General features: G+C 41.5%; 2 long non-coding RNA genes across 3 annotated transcripts in view; one reads left to right on the top strand and one right to left on the bottom strand.

Annotated features, from left to right (window-relative positions):
• Positions 1-1,780: 1,780 nt before the first annotated feature.
• Positions 1,781-4,689, top strand: LINC03123 (long intergenic non-protein coding RNA 3123). Its single transcript, NR_105000.1, has 3 exons — positions 1,781-1,854; positions 1,953-2,102; positions 3,733-4,689. It is a non-coding gene; the product is annotated as a long intergenic non-protein coding RNA 3123 (long non-coding RNA).
• Positions 4,690-6,481: 1,792 nt separating this feature from the next.
• LINC03122 (long intergenic non-protein coding RNA 3122) overlaps positions 6,482-18,640 on the bottom strand; it is a 93,238-nt gene continuing 81,079 nt past the window's right edge. For both annotated transcript variants that reach the window (NR_126524.1, NR_126525.1), the window contains one exon: positions 6,482-7,433. This is a non-coding gene — a long non-coding RNA (long intergenic non-protein coding RNA 3122). The remainder of the gene's footprint in view (positions 7,434-18,640) is intronic.

Here is an 18,640-nt window from a genome sequence, read left to right as displayed (position 1 = left end):
TTGTTTCGTGGTTATAAAATCATGTGAATGATTAAAATCCATCATCTCACTGCCTGCTCTAGCAAATGCTGGCGCTCCTTACAGACCCACTATTGATCCTCAGACAGACGGTTGAAAGGAGGCAGCATTCGTCAAAGGACGCAAAAGAGCGCATTTTTACTTTTATTGTATTAGCTTAATTCTCTTTCAGATGAATTAAAGACTAATTTTGCTAGACCAAGGGGAGAGTCTGTGCATCTTCTGCTGCCCCCATCTGTTTAACATGTAGATTCTTAGAGGGCAGGATTAATTTTTAGAGGCAAGAAAGTATTTACAAATTCCTTGTAAAAATACAGTACATTCCTTCATGACATGCCAAGCCAGCCACGCTTCCTTCCTCCCCAACTGCACCCTGTTCTCCGCTCCCCTCCCCCAGTCACCCCACCCACTCCCACAAGCATGCTCACCCTTACAGACTCACACATGCATGCTAAACACCACACACACACACACACACACACACACACACACACACACACCGTCCTTTAAATGGTATGTACCATGCTATGAGGCCTACCAAACATCAGACACTCTTTATCAGCAGTTGTGCCAGGGTCTCCATGGCAACAGTATAATAGATTTGCCCTTATTCAATCCCAGAGGCCACATTGAAGCGCAATGCAAAATTTGCTGGGGCCTGAATTCCTTTCAAGCCATGGCTCATGTGTCAGGAAACAAGTCAATGCACAGACAGCACTGCACATAAAGATGGAAAGGAACCTTTTCTCTCCACCGCTGTTTGCTCACAGTGACATTCAGAAGCCCAGACCCTTCTGGATCTCATTTCTCTCTCGTTTTCTAGTTATTAATTCACTTCTTTGGGTGGAGAGGCGAGTGGGGGAGGGGAGCATCATGCTTTGCAATAATAAACCGCCAATGAAAGTGCAAAGCAAGCTGCATAAAAACGAAGTGTGCATCCCAGCCTCCAAGGTTATATAGGATTCAATATGGCTGAAGCCCACCACAGCTGCAGACTGCATTCTGGGGTTTGATGCCCCTCAGTGCCAGCAGAGTCGAGCAGCTCAGCCAACCTCCTCGACCCAAACTGGAGTGCTACTCTGTGATACTCAAAGAAACCATCCCCAGGGAAGGAGAGGCAGAGGAATGGACACATGCCCTCGTCCTAAAGCCAATCTCGGCAGGCAGGAGGAATTCCCAGGAGCTCACACCTGAAGTACACTGTGGCTAAAACAAGCACAGCTTAAAAGTTAAACAATCATTTGTTTCAGGTTTATTTTAATCATTAGCTTTGGGACTTCCAAGATGATTACTTTGTGGGTTAATTATTTTCTGTGCTGTGGCTTTCCAAACCTAATTGCTCAACTTCATTATTGTACATAGTGATCCATAGCCCATTCCTAAAATTACCTGTCCAAATATTTTCCCTTTTGAGTATCACTGAGAATTTGCTATTTTTCTCTCTGAGTTGGAACTTTGCATAAATAACTTGGTTGGAGATGCTTGTGTGATTTTGAAGATTAAACCAGGGTTATCACTGGGCAGCTGACAGAACTCAGTTGGTAATATTATTAGGATTTGAAAGAAGACTTTTTCAGAGCTTTGCCCACATGAAGCCTAATTAACTTCAAGCCAGTGGTTCTCATACTTTAATGTGCATAAAAATCACCTGGAATGTTGTTAAAACACAATTTCTCAAACACCATTCCCAGAGATTCTGATTCAGTAGGTCAGGCTCCGGAACTTGCTTTGCTCACAAACTCACCAGTGATGTCAATGTGGCTGGTCCAAGAATCACACTTTGAGAACCACTGCTTTTGGCCAATCTCCATGAGAGAAAGTTCTCAACCTCTGATTGCAAGTTTATTTTGACCATTTACCATAACTTCAACTTCAATGCTCGTCTTGAAGGGCATGACTTGTCATCCTAATATAATTAGCCCCTCTTCCAGCAGATCAGACCCACAATACGCCCCAGCCTCTGGAGGACACAGAGAGAATGGAAGTCGTGGAGAAGAAAAGAGAAAAGTCTCAGAGGACCAGGATATACCCTCAGGACTAGCACTGTGCCTGCCGTAGAACGGGGCCTGCTCAGTGTTTTTTGGGTGAGTAAATATGATAGAATTTCAAGACTTCCATACTTCAGAAAGGAGATCTTAAGTCAAGAAGAGAGATATGCCATGTTTTATTTATATTGAAATATAGTCAAATATCTTCTGTTTGATTTTATAAAATATAAAATGGCATCTGAATTTTTGTGGGGGCAGGGGAGTAAATAATACTTTAAATTCCTAGGAAGCGGGAGCCATAGGGTGAGTCACTGTAGAAAGCAAAATCCCTTTATAATTAAAAACGTAACTCTCTAACTTATCTAATTTTGCAAGTTTGGGATTTCTTCAAGTGGAAAACACTGCATTTTCATTCTAAGAATCACCAGCTTTACTTTTTACTGAACAAAATGAAAGTATGGATTTGGGCCTGATGTTTAAAACCTGAAATCTTGAAATCAGAATCTGCTTCTTTTCATTTCTTGCTCCTGAATATTTGACCCTCAAATATGGGTCATTTTAACAGGTAATCAGTCTCAACAACCACAAAACATTGAGCCGATATCACAGAACACTAACTTAGGATGGCTCTGCTGACTTTGACCAGAATGTGGTCACCTGTACTAAGTAAGCCAAACTCTAGAGACTGACTACTGGGGGCCCGTGGGAGGAGTGTAACACTGAAGCCCTGCGACCTGCTTAGTGAATTACCTCATCTAAGGTAAATTTGTAATAAGGTAACTAACTGGCAGTGCTTTTCACCACTCTTTACAGCCTGTCTTCAGTTCTGAGGTTTTTCTTGCCAGAACAGGACAAAGGACACCAGGTGGGCAGCCTCCCAGGTGGGACCACACTGGGTCCTCTGTGCCCTTCCAACTGGAAAGGCACAGGGGAGACAAGAGCAGAGCTGATTTATCTTCCCCTATCTTGCCCCTTGCTTCAGCCCTCAGGTAGCAACTGGTGAAAAAGAAAAGTCCTTTATAAATCTAAATACACAGTATTGTAGAATTTTTAAATAGACCTTTGAGAGGATGGTGCTTGATGCTTCCTTCTGCTAGAGAAGGGCTGGAAGGCCCAGATAAGTGGATCCCAAGATCATGCAGCTGGTCTGTGGCGGAGACGAAAAGTGAGTGTGTACTTAGACTCAGACTCAGACGGAAGGGACCATGTGCTGCCCTAACCTGTTTTGCCTCCAGGAAGAACAGCCTGTCCTACTGCTGGGCTGTGAGATGTCCCCATCCCAGGCTCACCACCCTGCCACAGGCTACCTAAAGGGGAAAATGAATGCAGAGCGCTATCAACAACTTTCAATTCAACAAGTATTTACTGAGCACCAGCTATATGCCTGGCACTACACTGTGCTCTGACAGCCCTAGGGTGAGTCAGGCATGGCATTTTATGACAAGGTAGTTACAACCAGGGAAGTCTACTTTTCATCACTTTACAATAGCTGTCTCCTTTGTAATGCTTTGCAAACTGGGGTATGCCCAGTTTGTCTGGAGCCACAGATGAAACTGGTTCTTTCTTCTGGAAGTTTCCATTTTCCCTGATTATAATTACTCTATTTTCTTGCTTTTATGACATAGATTTTTTTTTCAGATTATAAGTTTTGGATATCTGAGATGGAGTCCTCCTAAACTCAAAATATGCATTAAATTGGTGATTGTTCTTTTTTTTCCTGTTACAGGTTGAGCTGCATCTTAGAATGAAATCCTACAACTGAGATGGCTAAAGGAATTAAAAATGGTATCTGTAATGTTAAATTTCAGACTGCTGCACAATATGTCAGTTTTAGGTACTTTTTAAAAGATGAACAAGTACAAGACTTCAAAGAAGTCTCTCCCTTGTGAAGGGTCCCTTCCGGCTTCACTTTAGAGTCTCTGCACTTTTAGTTCATCTCATTTGGGTGTTTCAAGGGAACAGAGAAGCCCTGGTTTAGATGATGCAGGGTTTTCTGATGCCAAAGTGAGAATGATAAAATGTCTGAAGGAAGAACACGATGCTATGCATTCCAGGCAGAATCTGGACTTGAAAACAATGAAGCACAAATACTTTTAGATGAACTGATTCACTTTTATTTTGTAAACATCCTAGAAGAATTCCATTTGCACTGAACTGTTTGAATCACTGCAGAGCTCTTGCTCCTTCTAATCCCCAAGGAAAGTCGATCCATCGCGTCCTGCTACACTGTATTTCTTCACTTTGCCCCTTTTCTCAATTCTTTGTGATCAGCATAAAGTTTGAACCGTGCCTCTTCTCGCCTTCCTGCCTGGCCACCTGTCCAGCCCTGCGGTCAGCTGTACCGACCAGCAGACGGTGCCTCTCTTGCCAAGTGGAGCCGATGCTCTGTGACCATTGTTCGTGGGGCCACACTGCCATCCCCATCGTTGCCCCTTCAGGACACTCGTCAACAGCTGTAAGAGGCTTCCCATCCTCGCCCATATAAAAGGAAGGCCTGAAAACACTTCTCGGAGCATCAGTTCATAGGTCACCGCAACCGGCCGAACAATACGCGATTATTCAACGGGCTCCAATTCATTTTCCTCTGCTCCTCCCCCACCGTTACCCTTGAGAGAAAACTAATTTGCAGAAAAATAGCCCCTGCCAGCCAACTTCTTCTCCTAAATGTATGCTGACCCCGAACTCTTGTCTCAGTGGGTCCTTATTCTCATAGTCAATGCACAGGAGTTCTGAAAAGCAGTCTTCTCCTTTAAAAACCTCCCCCACACCCCAGCATCTCAGTACGGGAGATGCTTTCTTTTTCTGCTATTCTTTGCTTCTCTTTTTAACATGTGTGCTGAAATTGGCACTTTCTCTGTTCAGTTCACTCCCTTTCTAGTATTAATGCAGCAACGGAGAAATGTGCGCAATTTCTCCAGTCTCTGCGCTCGGTGAGCCCATGGGTGATGGATGAAATGTAACATGCTCTACCTTACATATTACTATTTAAGGGAAGCGCCCGGGCCGGCTGGTGATGCATGGTGCTCTCCACAGCGCCCCGCGCAAGCAGGGAGCCCAGGCTGCCTGCACCGTTGTCTGAGTAAATAATGGGGCTAATAGCATTTGGTGCAAATGAGACTCCTATAGAAGGCATCGGGCTTGTTCATCTCGTTATGATTTTTCTTTGTCGAGAAGCCTTCTCTCTCTGTCCTCGTCAGAGCTTCCCCAGTGTGGCCTGCCTTGGTTATCTGGGGAGGAGGGAAGGTCTCGGGGAGTTCAAGATTTTGTAACTAATATTGAACGCCAGGGAGAATGGATGCCAAGGTCAGGTTAAGAATAAAGAAAATTGATTTGGAGGTCAGGGTCACAATGTGAAAGGCCTTCAATGCTGCCAAAATATTTTCATTATCGCTGTTTTTGTTATGGAAAAGAAGAGGCCCAGTGTAAGAAGGCTAAGAGGTGGAGGGAGGAAGCCTCAGAATGAACCAGGGGAATCAGAATCCTAGCTGTGATTTATTGGGCTTGTGTTTCCCTAGTTTCTTTGCCTGGCGTTTGCCTCCCCCTGTAAAAGTATGCGGATGTCTGGATGGACTAACATTGATAATGAAACCCTTTCCCACAGAACCTGGTGGGTCTGGGCTTGGACCGAGCTGAACTAACTCTCTCTCTCTGCCTCTCTTCTCTCTCTCTTTCTCTCTCTCCCTCTGTCCCTCTTTCCTCTCTCTTCTCCCTGTCTCTCTCCTAGCCTCTCTTTCTTCCCTCTTTCTCTACTTCTCTCCCCCCACCTCTCTCTCCTCTCTCTCTTTCTCTCTACCTCTCTCTCCTCTCTCTTTTTATCTTTCTCCGTCCTCTTCTTTCTCCCTCTCTACCTCCTTCTCTCTCTGTCCCTCCTTTTCTCTCTCCCTCCTTCTCTCTCTCCTCTCTCCCTGTCTCTTGCTTCTCTCTCTCCTCGCTGCCTCTCTGTCCCTATCCCTCTCTTCTCTCTCCCTATCTTTCTCCTAACTCTCTCTCCTCTCTCTTTCTCTCTCTCTATCCTCTCTCTCCTTTCTCCCTCTCTCTTCTTGTCTCCCTCTCTCTCTCCTCTTTCCCTTTCTCCCATCCTCTCTCTCTCCTCTCCCTCTACCCGTCTCCCTCTCTCTCAGTCTCTCTTCCTCTCTCTCTCTCTACCTCTCTCCCCTAATCTCTCTCCACCCTCTCTCTCCTCTCTCCCCCTCTCTCTCTCTGCAAAGAAGCTGGAGACAAGTTCTCCCACTTCTATTTGCAGTAGTGAGCTATTTCGTGCATCACTGTGAGTCCCCTTTTCACCCATTCTTACAACGTATCTACAACACAGGGCTGTATATTTTAACAAAATCCTGTTATTATTGGAGCTCTGACCTGATTTTGTTTCTATATTCTGAAGCAGAAAAGACTCCAGTGGCATGAAATTAGCAACACATTCTGTTAGTGTGTTAATTGTGTGAGAGTTTTTGGCAGGAGAGACTCCTAACACAACACAGAATTTATTTTTTATTTAAATTTGGTAGCGATTTCATATTGTGTTTAAGCAGAGGCACCATGGCTTAAACCACTAGAGATTTACTGTACATTCAGGAAAAGGAAAAAAAAAATCAGCCTAATGCAGTAGTGCAGAAAGAATTATGTAATTTTTTTACTTAGCAGGGAGGCTGCTAGAATTGATTTCTAATTCATGATGAGAAATTGGCATTCCCAGGCAGTGATTTGAGACTCTTTGGGCCCCAGTTCAGTATCCAAATGCAGTTGCATCAGGCAAGTAGCAGATTCCCTCTTCGATAAAAGCAAACACACATGAAAAGCAGAAAGTCAAAATCTCCCAGGCCAGAGGAGTTGTTTTTCTCTGGTGTATCTCCCAAAGACCAAAGATGATGATCTACTTTGGATGTGTAGATACACAAACATTGATAATGAAGGTCTCATGTTAAAATTTGACCGCCAGTCTTGGAGGTGGGGCTTGGTGGGAGGTGTTTGGGTTAGGGGGCGGATCTCTCAGGAATGGCTGGGGCCATCCCCTTGGTGATGAGTGAGTCCTTGCTCATTAGTTCACATGAGAGCTGGTTGCCTGACACCTTCTGCTCTCTCTCTTGCTCTCGCTCTTGCCATATAACACGCCTGCTCCTCCTCCACCTTCCACCATGAGTGGAAGCTTCCTGCGGCCTCACCAGAAGCAGATGCTGGTGCCATGCTTCTTGTACAGCCTGCAGAATTATGGGCCAAATTAACCTCTCTTCTTTAAAAATTACCAGCCTCAGGTATTTATTTATAGCAACACAAAATAGATCAATACAGGTCACATTGTATAGAAATGGCTGTCCCCATAAACATGTTGATGGAGAACAATTCCCAGAAAGGGGAAGGAAGGACAAACAAGCCAACAGGTGTATCCTATAGAAGAGGATGGACTCCTCCCCTCAGGGGCAGGAGGCAGCTCTGAAAGAAGAAAAAGGTAAAATAATGTTTGCTGAATACTTACTGTCTACCAGTCATTGTATTGGCAGGCATATACCATTGCATTCTTAATCTGACCAGACATGAAATATGTGATTCTCTGCTCACCCCGAAATCAGCAGCTCTCTGATCCTTTTCCCCCTCTCCTCCCTACACTTCCCTCCTTGCCCAGCCCTCACCACTGAGCTCTTGTCTGAGTGGCTCTGGGCTGTCCTGGCCAGCGGCTAGCTGTTCCCCTGCCCTTCACTCTGTGGCTCAGCCCAGCAGTTCAAAGCAGAAGAGACAAGGGCTCTTCTCCCCAGTAGCATCACTTCTGTAACAAGTCTTTCTCTAGAATAGTTAGCTATGGCCTGAATTTGATTCCTGGTGTATGGCAGAAGGACACAGACTAGGATTCAAATTCCAGCTCTCTCACTTTGTGTCCTTGGGGAGATTATTTACTCCCTGACTGGACCTGGGTTTCCACATCTGTGAAAGAAACAAGCACATTTTGGGCCAGGATTATAAACCAGGAGACAGGTGTAGTGTTCTCACCCCTGGAGCCGGCCCTCACTAAGTTCCTTTGCTTCTCGACCCCACAGTCATGGCAGTCAACGTCTATTGAACCCACATTAGGGGCCAGACACCACACTAAGCTAGGTATAAAAAGAGATGTCCCAGAGGTCCTATGGAGTGCACATAACACCTCATTTAATCCTCCCACAACCTGGAGTGGGGGGAATTTTGATCCTCCTTCTTCAAATAGGAAATCTGAGGCTTAGTCAAGGAAAACTACTGTGAAGGGCAGGGCTGGGATGTCACCCTGATTTGTCTGATTCCAAAGACTTCTTTTAACTTCAGTGCTTCTCAACACTGGCTATCTGGGGAGCTTTTAAAACACTGATACCAAGACCCCTATCTTGGACTAACTGAATGGAGGTGGGGTTGAATATCTGCAGCTTTGAAAAGTTACAGGAGGAATCTAACCTGATGCTCAGAAGGTGATGGAGCCTCTGTCTTGATTATGTTCCACTGCCGACAACATCCACCCATGTCCACAAACTAGGGCTTCTTAACTAACACAGGAGTTTCAAAGGCCAGTTTTTACCAATGATGAAGGATCTGCTATGGGCTGGGCACTTTATGTGATCTCTGATCCTTACAGCAACTATGCAGGCATGAGATGTGGTCAATTTTTTTTTCTTTGGTTCAAATAACTTATATAAATAACTGGTACACACAAACCCTCAGTCAATAGTATTGTTAATATCAGCACTGTCAACATCATCATCTCTTGGATCCTCACAGCAGCCTCAGACATGTCAACCCTGTCTCCTTAACATCCCTGGAATGTATTCATTTCTCACCATCCCTGCTGCCACCCATTTCACCTGAATGCCCATCATTTCCCAACTGGACAGCTGCCATAGGCTTTTAACAACTTGCTGAAACCAGCCTCATCCTCTCCCAATCTATTTTGTACAAAATAGCCCGGATGATCTATTTGAAACACAAATATTTAACCTTCCCTGGTTAGGAAATAGTGATGACTGTCAGGGTCACTGCATAGGGTTGGTAGGTGAAGCCCTTCATAAAAGCACCAAGTGCAGAGGCAGATGGTGCTGAATCCTCTCCCTGCTCTGCTTGAGGGGGCATCAGCCCTGAGGACAGGGTGTCTATTTGTGCTTCATGGGTACAGAGTATGTGTATGCTTTGGTTTGGGGAAGGAGGTGTGTGTTTTCTAATTCACACAAAAGTTTGAAAAAGAGCAGCAACTGCCCTGAAATTGAACCAACCTCACTCAGTCATTGTGCTAGATAAATGTGAAAATTTAAATAAAATGGAGGCTCCCTCCAGGAGTTGAAATTTGAACCCAGGCTGTCAGTCTCACCAGCTCCTCTCCTAACCCCTGTTGTTTTCCCTAGAAGGCACAGAAATTATGCTCTCAGGGAGATTCCACAGATAGACAATTCTTTGGGCAGGTCAACTAGGAGAAGCTCCATAGTGGAGAGAGGGGCAGTCCCTCCCTTCAAGACCAAAGGTGGGCCGACAAAAGCCAACCAGCTTGTTCCCCTTGCCCATCTTATCTATTTAAGGCCTCAATTCCTTTGACCTTCAAAAAAAAGTGTAGTAAAACTTTTGATGAAAAAAATCTTTCTTAGGAGAGAAGAATTTAGATGACAAGGGAAATGGTTATGCTTGGCATCTGATCTGTTTCAAGTAAATTCATTCCCGGCTACCTATTTGATAGGTAAAGTAGAGATAAGGAAAATTAGATTTTAATACAATATCTATCATTATTCTTCCCTATCACATCATTGCTTTTGCTGGCACCAGACTGAATATTTGGCACAGCATTGTAGAACTGGAAGGTCTCGTAGAAATAATCCAGTCCAAATGTTGGCATCCCAAAGCCCCTGTAGGATGGGGGTCTTCATGAGACCTTTCAATATTTGTGAGTTTATATGTGTATTAAATTGGCACAGACTCACTAAAACATCATTTCTTTGCCTTTGACTAGAACTTTAGTAACTTAATATGTTCAAACTTTGGCCGTCTCATGCTAAGTTCTGGCTAGCAGCTGTATGTCTTTCATTAATAAAAGTGAAAATGAAATCACTGTGACCAAAAATCACACTCACAGCTCATGGAAGATCCTTGATTCCCAGACTAATGTTTATGTCCACCATATCATCCTGTCATTTTCTTGACATTTAGGTCAATGAAGAATTTTAGTTTGATAATTAGTTTCAAATCACTCAGCTTAAATTCCAATGTAATAAATTCTTTTTTCAAATTTTATTTTAAAGAAGACTATAGCTACTATACATTTCAAACCAGATTATTCACCATCAATAGAAATAAATACAAAACAAAGCATTGTAATTGAATTCCAGCTAACCACAGTTTTGCCGACCAGGGCTCTTAAATTGAGGTCTGTTCCCTCTTTGTTAAGGAAAGAGGGTGGAGGAGATGAGGAAATGTTGAGAGGTGTTAAAGGAAAATTGGCACCAAACTGAGGCTCTCTCTAGACTTATTCAGAATATGGAAAGGCAATAAAAAAGGGAATACTTTTCTCATAAAAATTATCTCATAGTTCCTGCTGCCTTCAACCCATGGGAGAAATAACCGTATTACAGAAGTCAGAAATAGAGCCTCTGCCCCAACCACTACCTTCCCCTTTCTGGTTTGGCTAAAAACTCACCCCTTTCTCTTCTTGGATGGACCACCTCTACTTCTCCTTCTTCTCCATGGCCTTTGGATCCTTTTATCCCCTTTGCTCCCCACTTCCAGAGCCCTGTCTCTATTCTACTGGGTCTCAAACCCTGCGGTTCACAGCTTGTGGGTGAGAAGGCTTAGGATCTTGGAGATAGAAGAGAGAGTGGTGGGGACAAGGAGGAGGAGGAGGAAAAAGGAGGAGGTGGTGGTTTATATAGCCCATTGTTCTCAAGCAAGTCTGAATATTCCCAGTCAATAATCCACACTTGTTTCACCCTTTAATTCCTTTTTGTTGTTGTTTTTAATTTTTTTTTTTTTTTTTTTTTTTTTTTGAGACAGGGTCTCATTCTGCCATCCAGGCTAGAGTGCAGTGGTACAGTCATGACTCACTGTAACCTCAAACTCCTGGGCTCAAGCGATCCTTCCACCTGTGCCTCCTAAAGTGCTGGGATTACAGGTATGAGCCACTGTGCCTGGTTAAGTCCTTTAGCTCCCCTTGCTATTTCCATTGTGCCATGGGAGTGTAACGAAGCCTGAAATCTAATTTTTACCCCCTGATAGAGCCTTCAGCCTTTTGCCTCTTTTTTCCTCCTGCCTTTTGCTTCTCCGTAACATACATGATGCTTCAGCCTCATCCTTTGTAGCTTTTATTCTGTCCTGCCTTCCTCCACATTCATAAATCACAACACATTTTGTTACTTAATGATGTGGGCTAGATGATTTAATTACCCTACATTTTCTATCCTGTTGACCATCCTGGCTGAATTTTTGAAATTTAATAATTTGAAGCCACACAGAATGCAGTTATAGATACTAGGCTTCCTCATTACTTGAATCTCCTCAATTAGTTCCTCTCATGTCCAGTGTTCTTCTTGTTTGTTTATACTGTAAAGCCCTGATTATCTGAAACTCCTTTATGCAGAAACTCTGTTATCTGAAATAAGGTTGTATTACTGGATGTGTTTTATTTACTTTGAAAACTGTCTGGCTCACCTGAACCTTTGCTTATCTGATTTAATTCAATGCTTACCTGGATTCTTCAGATCAGCAGGGCCTTGGGGATCCCTACTCCATTTTCTTATTGTTTAACCTCTGCTACAGAACAACTCCAATTTCAGTCCTACTTTCCATGGTAGAAACGCATGCCATGTTATCTGCATTCTACACTTGCTCCACTATGTTTGTTCCTGCCTCCTTTCTAAAACCCATGTTAAAAGGAAAAAAAAGAATAATTGAACTTTTTAAACCTCCTATAGTATCATGAGGCAGCATAGCCAAAGGGAAAGGATGTTGTCATGCATCTAGGGACCTGACCGTGTTCTTGGCTTCGTTCTGTAGTTGACTGTGTGACTTAAAACAAGTCCTCTAAACCACCATGCATTTCTGTTTCCCAATCAGCCAACTGGGGATAACAGTGTCTAGGCTTCCTTGTTACCTGAGATTACCTGATGTAGGGACTATAGTTGTAGAAAAGTTTTGAGGGGAATATTCTTTTTATAATTAATCTAGACAGAGTCATTCATAATTAAGTAATAATTAATCTAGAGAGGACTTACTAATTCTTTTTATAATAGCTCACATTTGGCAAAGAATAAGATTGAGAGACATTAAGGAAAAATCGGCACCAAACTGAGGCTTTCTCTAGACAATGCAGAAATGCTGATTCCTGGCAAATAGTATCTGCACTCTGCTTGAATGCTTCTCATAATGGAAAGATCACTATGTCTTTTCAAAGTTTTCATTACTAAACTATCAGATATTTCTTTCTCGCATAAGGCAAAAAATATCCCTTTGTGAAAATTTCACCTGCTTGTCCTATAGCAATTCAATTTACCACCGATTTGCAAAGGCCTGTGTCAGTTATCTGGAGTTACTAAGATAAATTCAGCTTGGTTTCTGCACACAAAATCTTTGCACATGGCAGGATACCTAAGACATGTTCTACAAATGAAAGGTCGGCTGTAGTGTTGGATTTCTTAAAGGTAGAGATACTTCCGCTGGTGGCTAACATGGAATAATAGGGACCAGTCTTGCCTTCCTTCCTGGAACAACCAAAATAATGAGCAACACTTTTCAAGACACTGGATGTCAGGAAACAAAAAAACAGTGATTCTCAAGTGATAGGAAACAAACAATTGCCTCTACAAAATAAGCTTTCCAAAAAACTTACTGCCGTGGGAGAACTTTCCAGCCCTCTTGCAGGGAATCCAGACACAGGAGTCCAGTGAACTCCCTGAGAAAAGATGGAAATGAGATTCCTGGAGACCAAGACAGCCAGAGTTTTTGGGATAGAGTACTGAAGAGGAGAGAGCTGTACAGAGAAAGAATGCCAGTGATCTACCAAGGCTCCCTCTTGAATATTCTGCAGAGTACTGATCAACAAATGCATGTGAGGAAACTTTCCAGCGAGGAAAGTCCTACCTCCACAAATTAGAGGGAACAGGACCATGCCTGTTTCTACCAGCCAGACTGAGAAACCTCATAATTTGTGGGGCATTGGATATACTAGTCAGAAGGCTGTTTTCTCAGTAATGAAAAATAATTCACAGTAGACTGAAAGCAGCTCTCGGTTTCACCTAACAAATCTTAAAAAGAAGACCCAAAAGTAGTAAACTGTTTATAGGCAAATTAACTGCATTGCTGAACAAAGCTCAAGAATATTTGTAGGAATACAACAGTAGCCAGTACCCAACAAAGTAAAATTCACAAAGTATGGTACTCAGTAAAAAAAATTACCAGGTATGCAAGAAGGTAGGAAAATACGACCAATAATAAGGAGAAATAGCAACCAATCAAAACCAACCCAGAGCTGACACAGATGTTAGAATCAACAGACAAGGACATTCAGACAATTCTTATAACTGTATTACATGTGATCAACTAGTGAAGAACAGACATAGAAGATATTTTAATTGAACTTAGAAGATATTTACATTGAACGTCTAGGAATGAAAACTACAATTTCTAAGATATAATTTTCACTGATGAAATCAGTGGTAGATTGAACACTGCAGAAAAAATTTTAAGAAACTTTAAGACATAGCAGTAGACACTATTCTCAAACCACAGAGAGGAAAAAGAATAAAAACAAAAGAACAGAGGCTCACTGGCTCATGGAACAAATTCAAGTGGATCAATAGTGTAATTTGTGTCTAGAAGGAGAGTAGGTGGGGGAATGGAAAGAGAACAAGAGCCCAAGCACAGGAACCATAAAGAAAAGGTAATCAGCTGGGCGCAGTGGCTCACGCCTGTAATCCCAGCACTTTGGGAGGCTGAGGCAGGTGGATCACCTGAGCTCAGGAGTTCGAGACCAAACTGACCAACATGGAGAAACCCCGTCTCTACTAAAAATACAAAATTAGCCAGGCATGGTGGTGCATGCCTGTAATCCCAGCTATCTGGGGGGCTGAGACAGGAGAATCGCTTGAAGCCAGGAGGTAGAGGTGGAGGTGAGTCAAGATCGTGCCATTGTACTCCAGCCTGGGCAATGAGCAACAAAAGCAAAAAAAAAAAAAAAAAAAAAAAAAAAAGGAAAGGAAAGAAAGAAAGGTAATCAAGGAACAATGGAAACAAATTGTTCAAAATCAAAACCAATGTGAAGAGAAAATCTTAAAAGCAGTCATAGAAAAAAGACACATTATGTATAGAGAAAAAAAAAAAAACAGGAGAAGTTCCTCATCAGAAACAATGCAAGTGAGAGCATTGTTTAAAGGTGGAGCAACACCTTTAAACATGAAAAAACTGTTAATGTTGAAGTCTATACCAGTGAATAGGTCTTTCAAAAATGAAGGCAAAATAAAGAATTTTCAGACATACAAAAGAAGAAAGAATTTGTCACCAGTAGATCTATTCTACAAAATATGTTAAAGAAAGTCCTTTAGTCAGAAGGAAGATGACACAAATTGGAAATCTGAACTACATGAAGAAATGAAGAGCATGGAAATGGTCATAGCATAGGCAAATTTGTAAGCTTTATTATTATTATCTCCAAAAGGTAATTGACTATTTAAACAAAAATGATAACGTTTATAATATATATAAAGAAAAATCTATGACAAAAATAGCACAAAACCGGGAAGGATTATGGATCTGCTGCCATTTTGGTTTTTGTTGTTGTTGTTGTTCCTGTGTACATAATGTGAGGATAATGGATGTAGTTTGTTATAAGGTTTTTAAGCTATGTGTAAAGTGCTGTATAGCAAAACAAAGAGCTTTAGCTAAGAAGACAACAAAAGAGATAAAATGAAATCATAAAAAACATGCAATCTAAAAGAAGGCAGAGGAAATAGAGAACAAATAATAGATGGAGAAAATGGAAAACAAATAACAAGAAGATAGATTTAAATCTAACCATATCAATAAATCACATTAAATGATCTAAATACCAAAATGAATAGACAGATATTGGCAGAGTGAATAAATAGATATGCTGCCTATAAGAAACCCACTTTGGAGGACAATTGACATCGAAATAGTATTTAGTTTTTCAGCCCATAAACACAGTATATCCCTCCATTTATTTAGCTCTTTAAATTTTATCTCAGCAACATTTTGTAATCTTGTCAAATTTGTTCCTAAGTATTTCACATTTCTGAAGTCATTGTAAAGAGTACTATGTTTTAAATTTTAATCTCCAATACTTTGTTGTTGGTACACAGAAATACAATTGAGTATTTAGATTGATCTTCTATCTGCAACATTGCCAAGCTCATTTATTAGTTCTAATCACTGTATTATATATTCCATAGGATTTTCTACATAGATAATTTGCAGATAAAGACCATTTACTTTTTCCTTTCAACTTTGAATACTTTTATTTATTTTTCTTGTTTTATTGCACTGGCTAGAACTCTATTACAATGTTGAATAGAAGTGGTTTCCTTGTCTTGTTCCTGATCTTAAAGGAAAAACATTCAGCTTTGTATTATTAAATATCTTGTTAGGTGAATTTTATCCTTTGGAATAATACAAGATGAGTCTACCTCCTCTATCAATGAAAGCATACTTTTGTACTTATGTGTCATGTACTGGTGATATAGCAGTGAACCAAACATACAGAAATCCCTGCCTCTCATGGAGTTTACTTACACTCTAGAGGGGAAGATGAACAATAAACAAGATACACTAGTAAAATCTAGGGTGTGTTGATGGTGAGAAGAGCCAATGGAAGGGAGAGATGAAGTATCAGTGGGCTGTATAAAATGTTAGAGATTGTGGCCTGGAAGGGCTAATGAGCACATCACTGAGTTTTTTCTTTGTCCTGGCCATTCATTCTATCCCTCTTTCCCTATGACTACTGCTTCAGACTCTCATTATTTCTCATGTGTACTATTGCAACAGCGTCCAACCTGGTCTCCTTGTCCTTAGGCTTATCAAACCTCCATACTTCTACCAAAGTGCTCCTTTAGTGAATTCCCATTTCTTACAGGATAAAATTCAAATTTCCTTGGAGCCCATAAAGTTCCTTTCATGAGCTTGCCTTTATCTTCCTAGCCTCATCATTCTCCCCTTTCCCCTTTGCCTCCTATACCCCAGCCTTATAAAACCATTTGCTCTTTACTAAATATGCTCCACTCTCTCATTACTCTGAGCTTTTGCCTAGACTCTTCCCTATTTCTATATTGCCTTTATTCATTATATGCACATAATAAATCATTAACTTTTAAAATCATTTAAATGCCACTATAAGCATTACCTCTAGAAAAAATGTCTTCCTAAAAGAAGAGCTGGGTACTCCCTCTTCTAGTTCCTAGGCTATCTGTGTGTATGCAAATTAGGATGTTGAATTCCATTATTGAATGGTAATTGTCTACTTACTTGCATGTCAGTCCTACTGGACTGTGAGTACCTTGAAACAGAAACTGGCTCTACATATTTGTTTCCCTAGCACCGTTCTGGCACATAGGGATGATCAGTAAATTTTTGTTGAAAGAATAGCTATATGTGTAGAAGAAATGAAATATCCCTGATCTAAGTCTTCATTTGAAGACATTTCAGTGTCCTGGATATCTGGCTTGTCATGGCTCCCTGAATAACTGCTGAATGCACTGACATACTTACTCAATGTAGTCAGATCAGTGCAGTGTCTAGTTATAACAATGACCTTCCTTCACCTGGGCATTGTTTAAAATGAATTTAGTACGAACTTGATTAAATCCTTTGGAAAAAGTGCCACACTTTGAGTGTATATTAAGTTTGTGGTCAACCAACACCTTCAAGTCTTTTTCACTGATGTAAAGCCGAGTCTCTCCCAGCTAATCCATGTTGACCAGTCTTTCCCTATGTGCCAGATAAAACTCTCATCCCTGCTCAACTCATCTTATTTTTTGTCCTAAGGCATCACTCTTAGAAACATTTTGAAAATACTTTTGTTCTTTTATTACATTAGACTTGCTGCCATTTCAAAGTGTAACTAAAATATTGGGAAAAGATCAAACAGTGAAACTTAAGACTGCTGCAGAGGATATTTAAAGATTATAACTCAGGAAGTCTCAGGGTGTACCTAAGCTTCCGCCCTATGGGAGCCGTTTTAGCTTAGACCTAATCTGAAGGTACTCTTCTCAACAAAAGCAACTGATTTTCAAATCTTGTTTTAATCATTGGAGTATCAACACAGAGCAATGTAGGATACAGATGCAGCTGATCAGACCACAGAACACTGAAGTTATTGCAAGAAAGAGCAAATATGCTGCCAGATACCAACACAGAGAAGCCATTCCCAAAAGTTTAAGTAACTGATGATACATTTTAGCCTAGGAGTAACCTCCTTTAAAGATAATTTTAAAGGTAATGCTTAAAGTGAACTTTAATAATAACTTCAGCAAAAAATGGAAAATACACAGATGGGGGATGCAGATGCAAGAACCATTTATTCAGGATGCTCCAGTTAATGGGTACTGTTGATGTTCACAGGGAAGAAAGACAGAATACTAGAACATCATTCAAATTACAACGCCCATCACACCCAGACTCCCCAGTTCACGGAGAACTGGAAGGTGATCTTGTCATCTCCTCTTCCTCCTCATGGCTTCTCCTTCTTAGAGTTTGCATTGCTTCCCAGCCTCTGGCCCATAACTTTCTCCCAGAGCTCCTAACCAGGCCATCTCCTAGGATGCAGGCCAACCTTCTGAGGGTCAGACACAATCCCTGGTCTAAGCCTAGACAGTTGGTACAAAACATGGCAACCTCTAAATTCTATACAAAGAAACACTTTGGCTGCTTACTTAGAAGGGAATTCTTAAAATGCTATACTCTGTGCTGGGAACTAATTTATTATGTGCCAAGAGCTTCAAAAACATACTATCCCAGGTATCTATTGGTGTGTAACAAACCACCCCAAAATATGGGGGTGTAAAACAACAATTATTGTATTATGCTTGTGACTCTGGAAGTCTGAAATTTAGTCAGGGCACAAGTAGGGACTGTTTTTCTCTGTCCCACAAAGTCTGTGGCTTCAGCTGGGGTGGCTCAAATAGCTGAGGATGGGTATTCCCCACACAAAACAAAAGGCCACTGTCTGGGCCCTCCATTCTTCTCCATGTGGTTTCTTCTAGAGCAAATCCTTCACTCATGTATGTGATATCTGAGCTGGGGTAGGTTGAACAGTTTGGGTCTGGCTGTCCTCGCTGTGTCTCCACATGCCCTCTTCAATTGCTTACTTTGGGATTCTTTACCAAGTTCCTGGAAACCAAGGCAGAGAACTTCAATGCTTCTTAAGACCTAGCTACAAAAGGCAGTATCATTTCAATGTAGGAGGAGATTACTTCCTCCTGGGCTAAAATGTGTTATGGGTTACTTAAAATTTTGGGAATGACTTCTCCGTGTGGGTATGTGGCAGCATATTTGTGTCTTGGGTGTGAATACCAGGAGGTAAAGCTTACTGGGGAGCCATTATTGGAGAATAGCTGCTTTCTTTGGAAAATGGCTACCATACATACATTCTCTCATTAAGCCCTCACAACAATCCTATCAGTTAGGTACTCTATTCTCCT

Source organism: Homo sapiens, chromosome 5, assembly GCF_000001405.40.
Source record: "Homo sapiens chromosome 5, GRCh38.p14 Primary Assembly".
Taxonomy (NCBI): Eukaryota; Metazoa; Chordata; class Mammalia; order Primates; family Hominidae; genus Homo; species Homo sapiens.
This window is presented reverse-complemented; position numbering and strand designations above follow the sequence as displayed.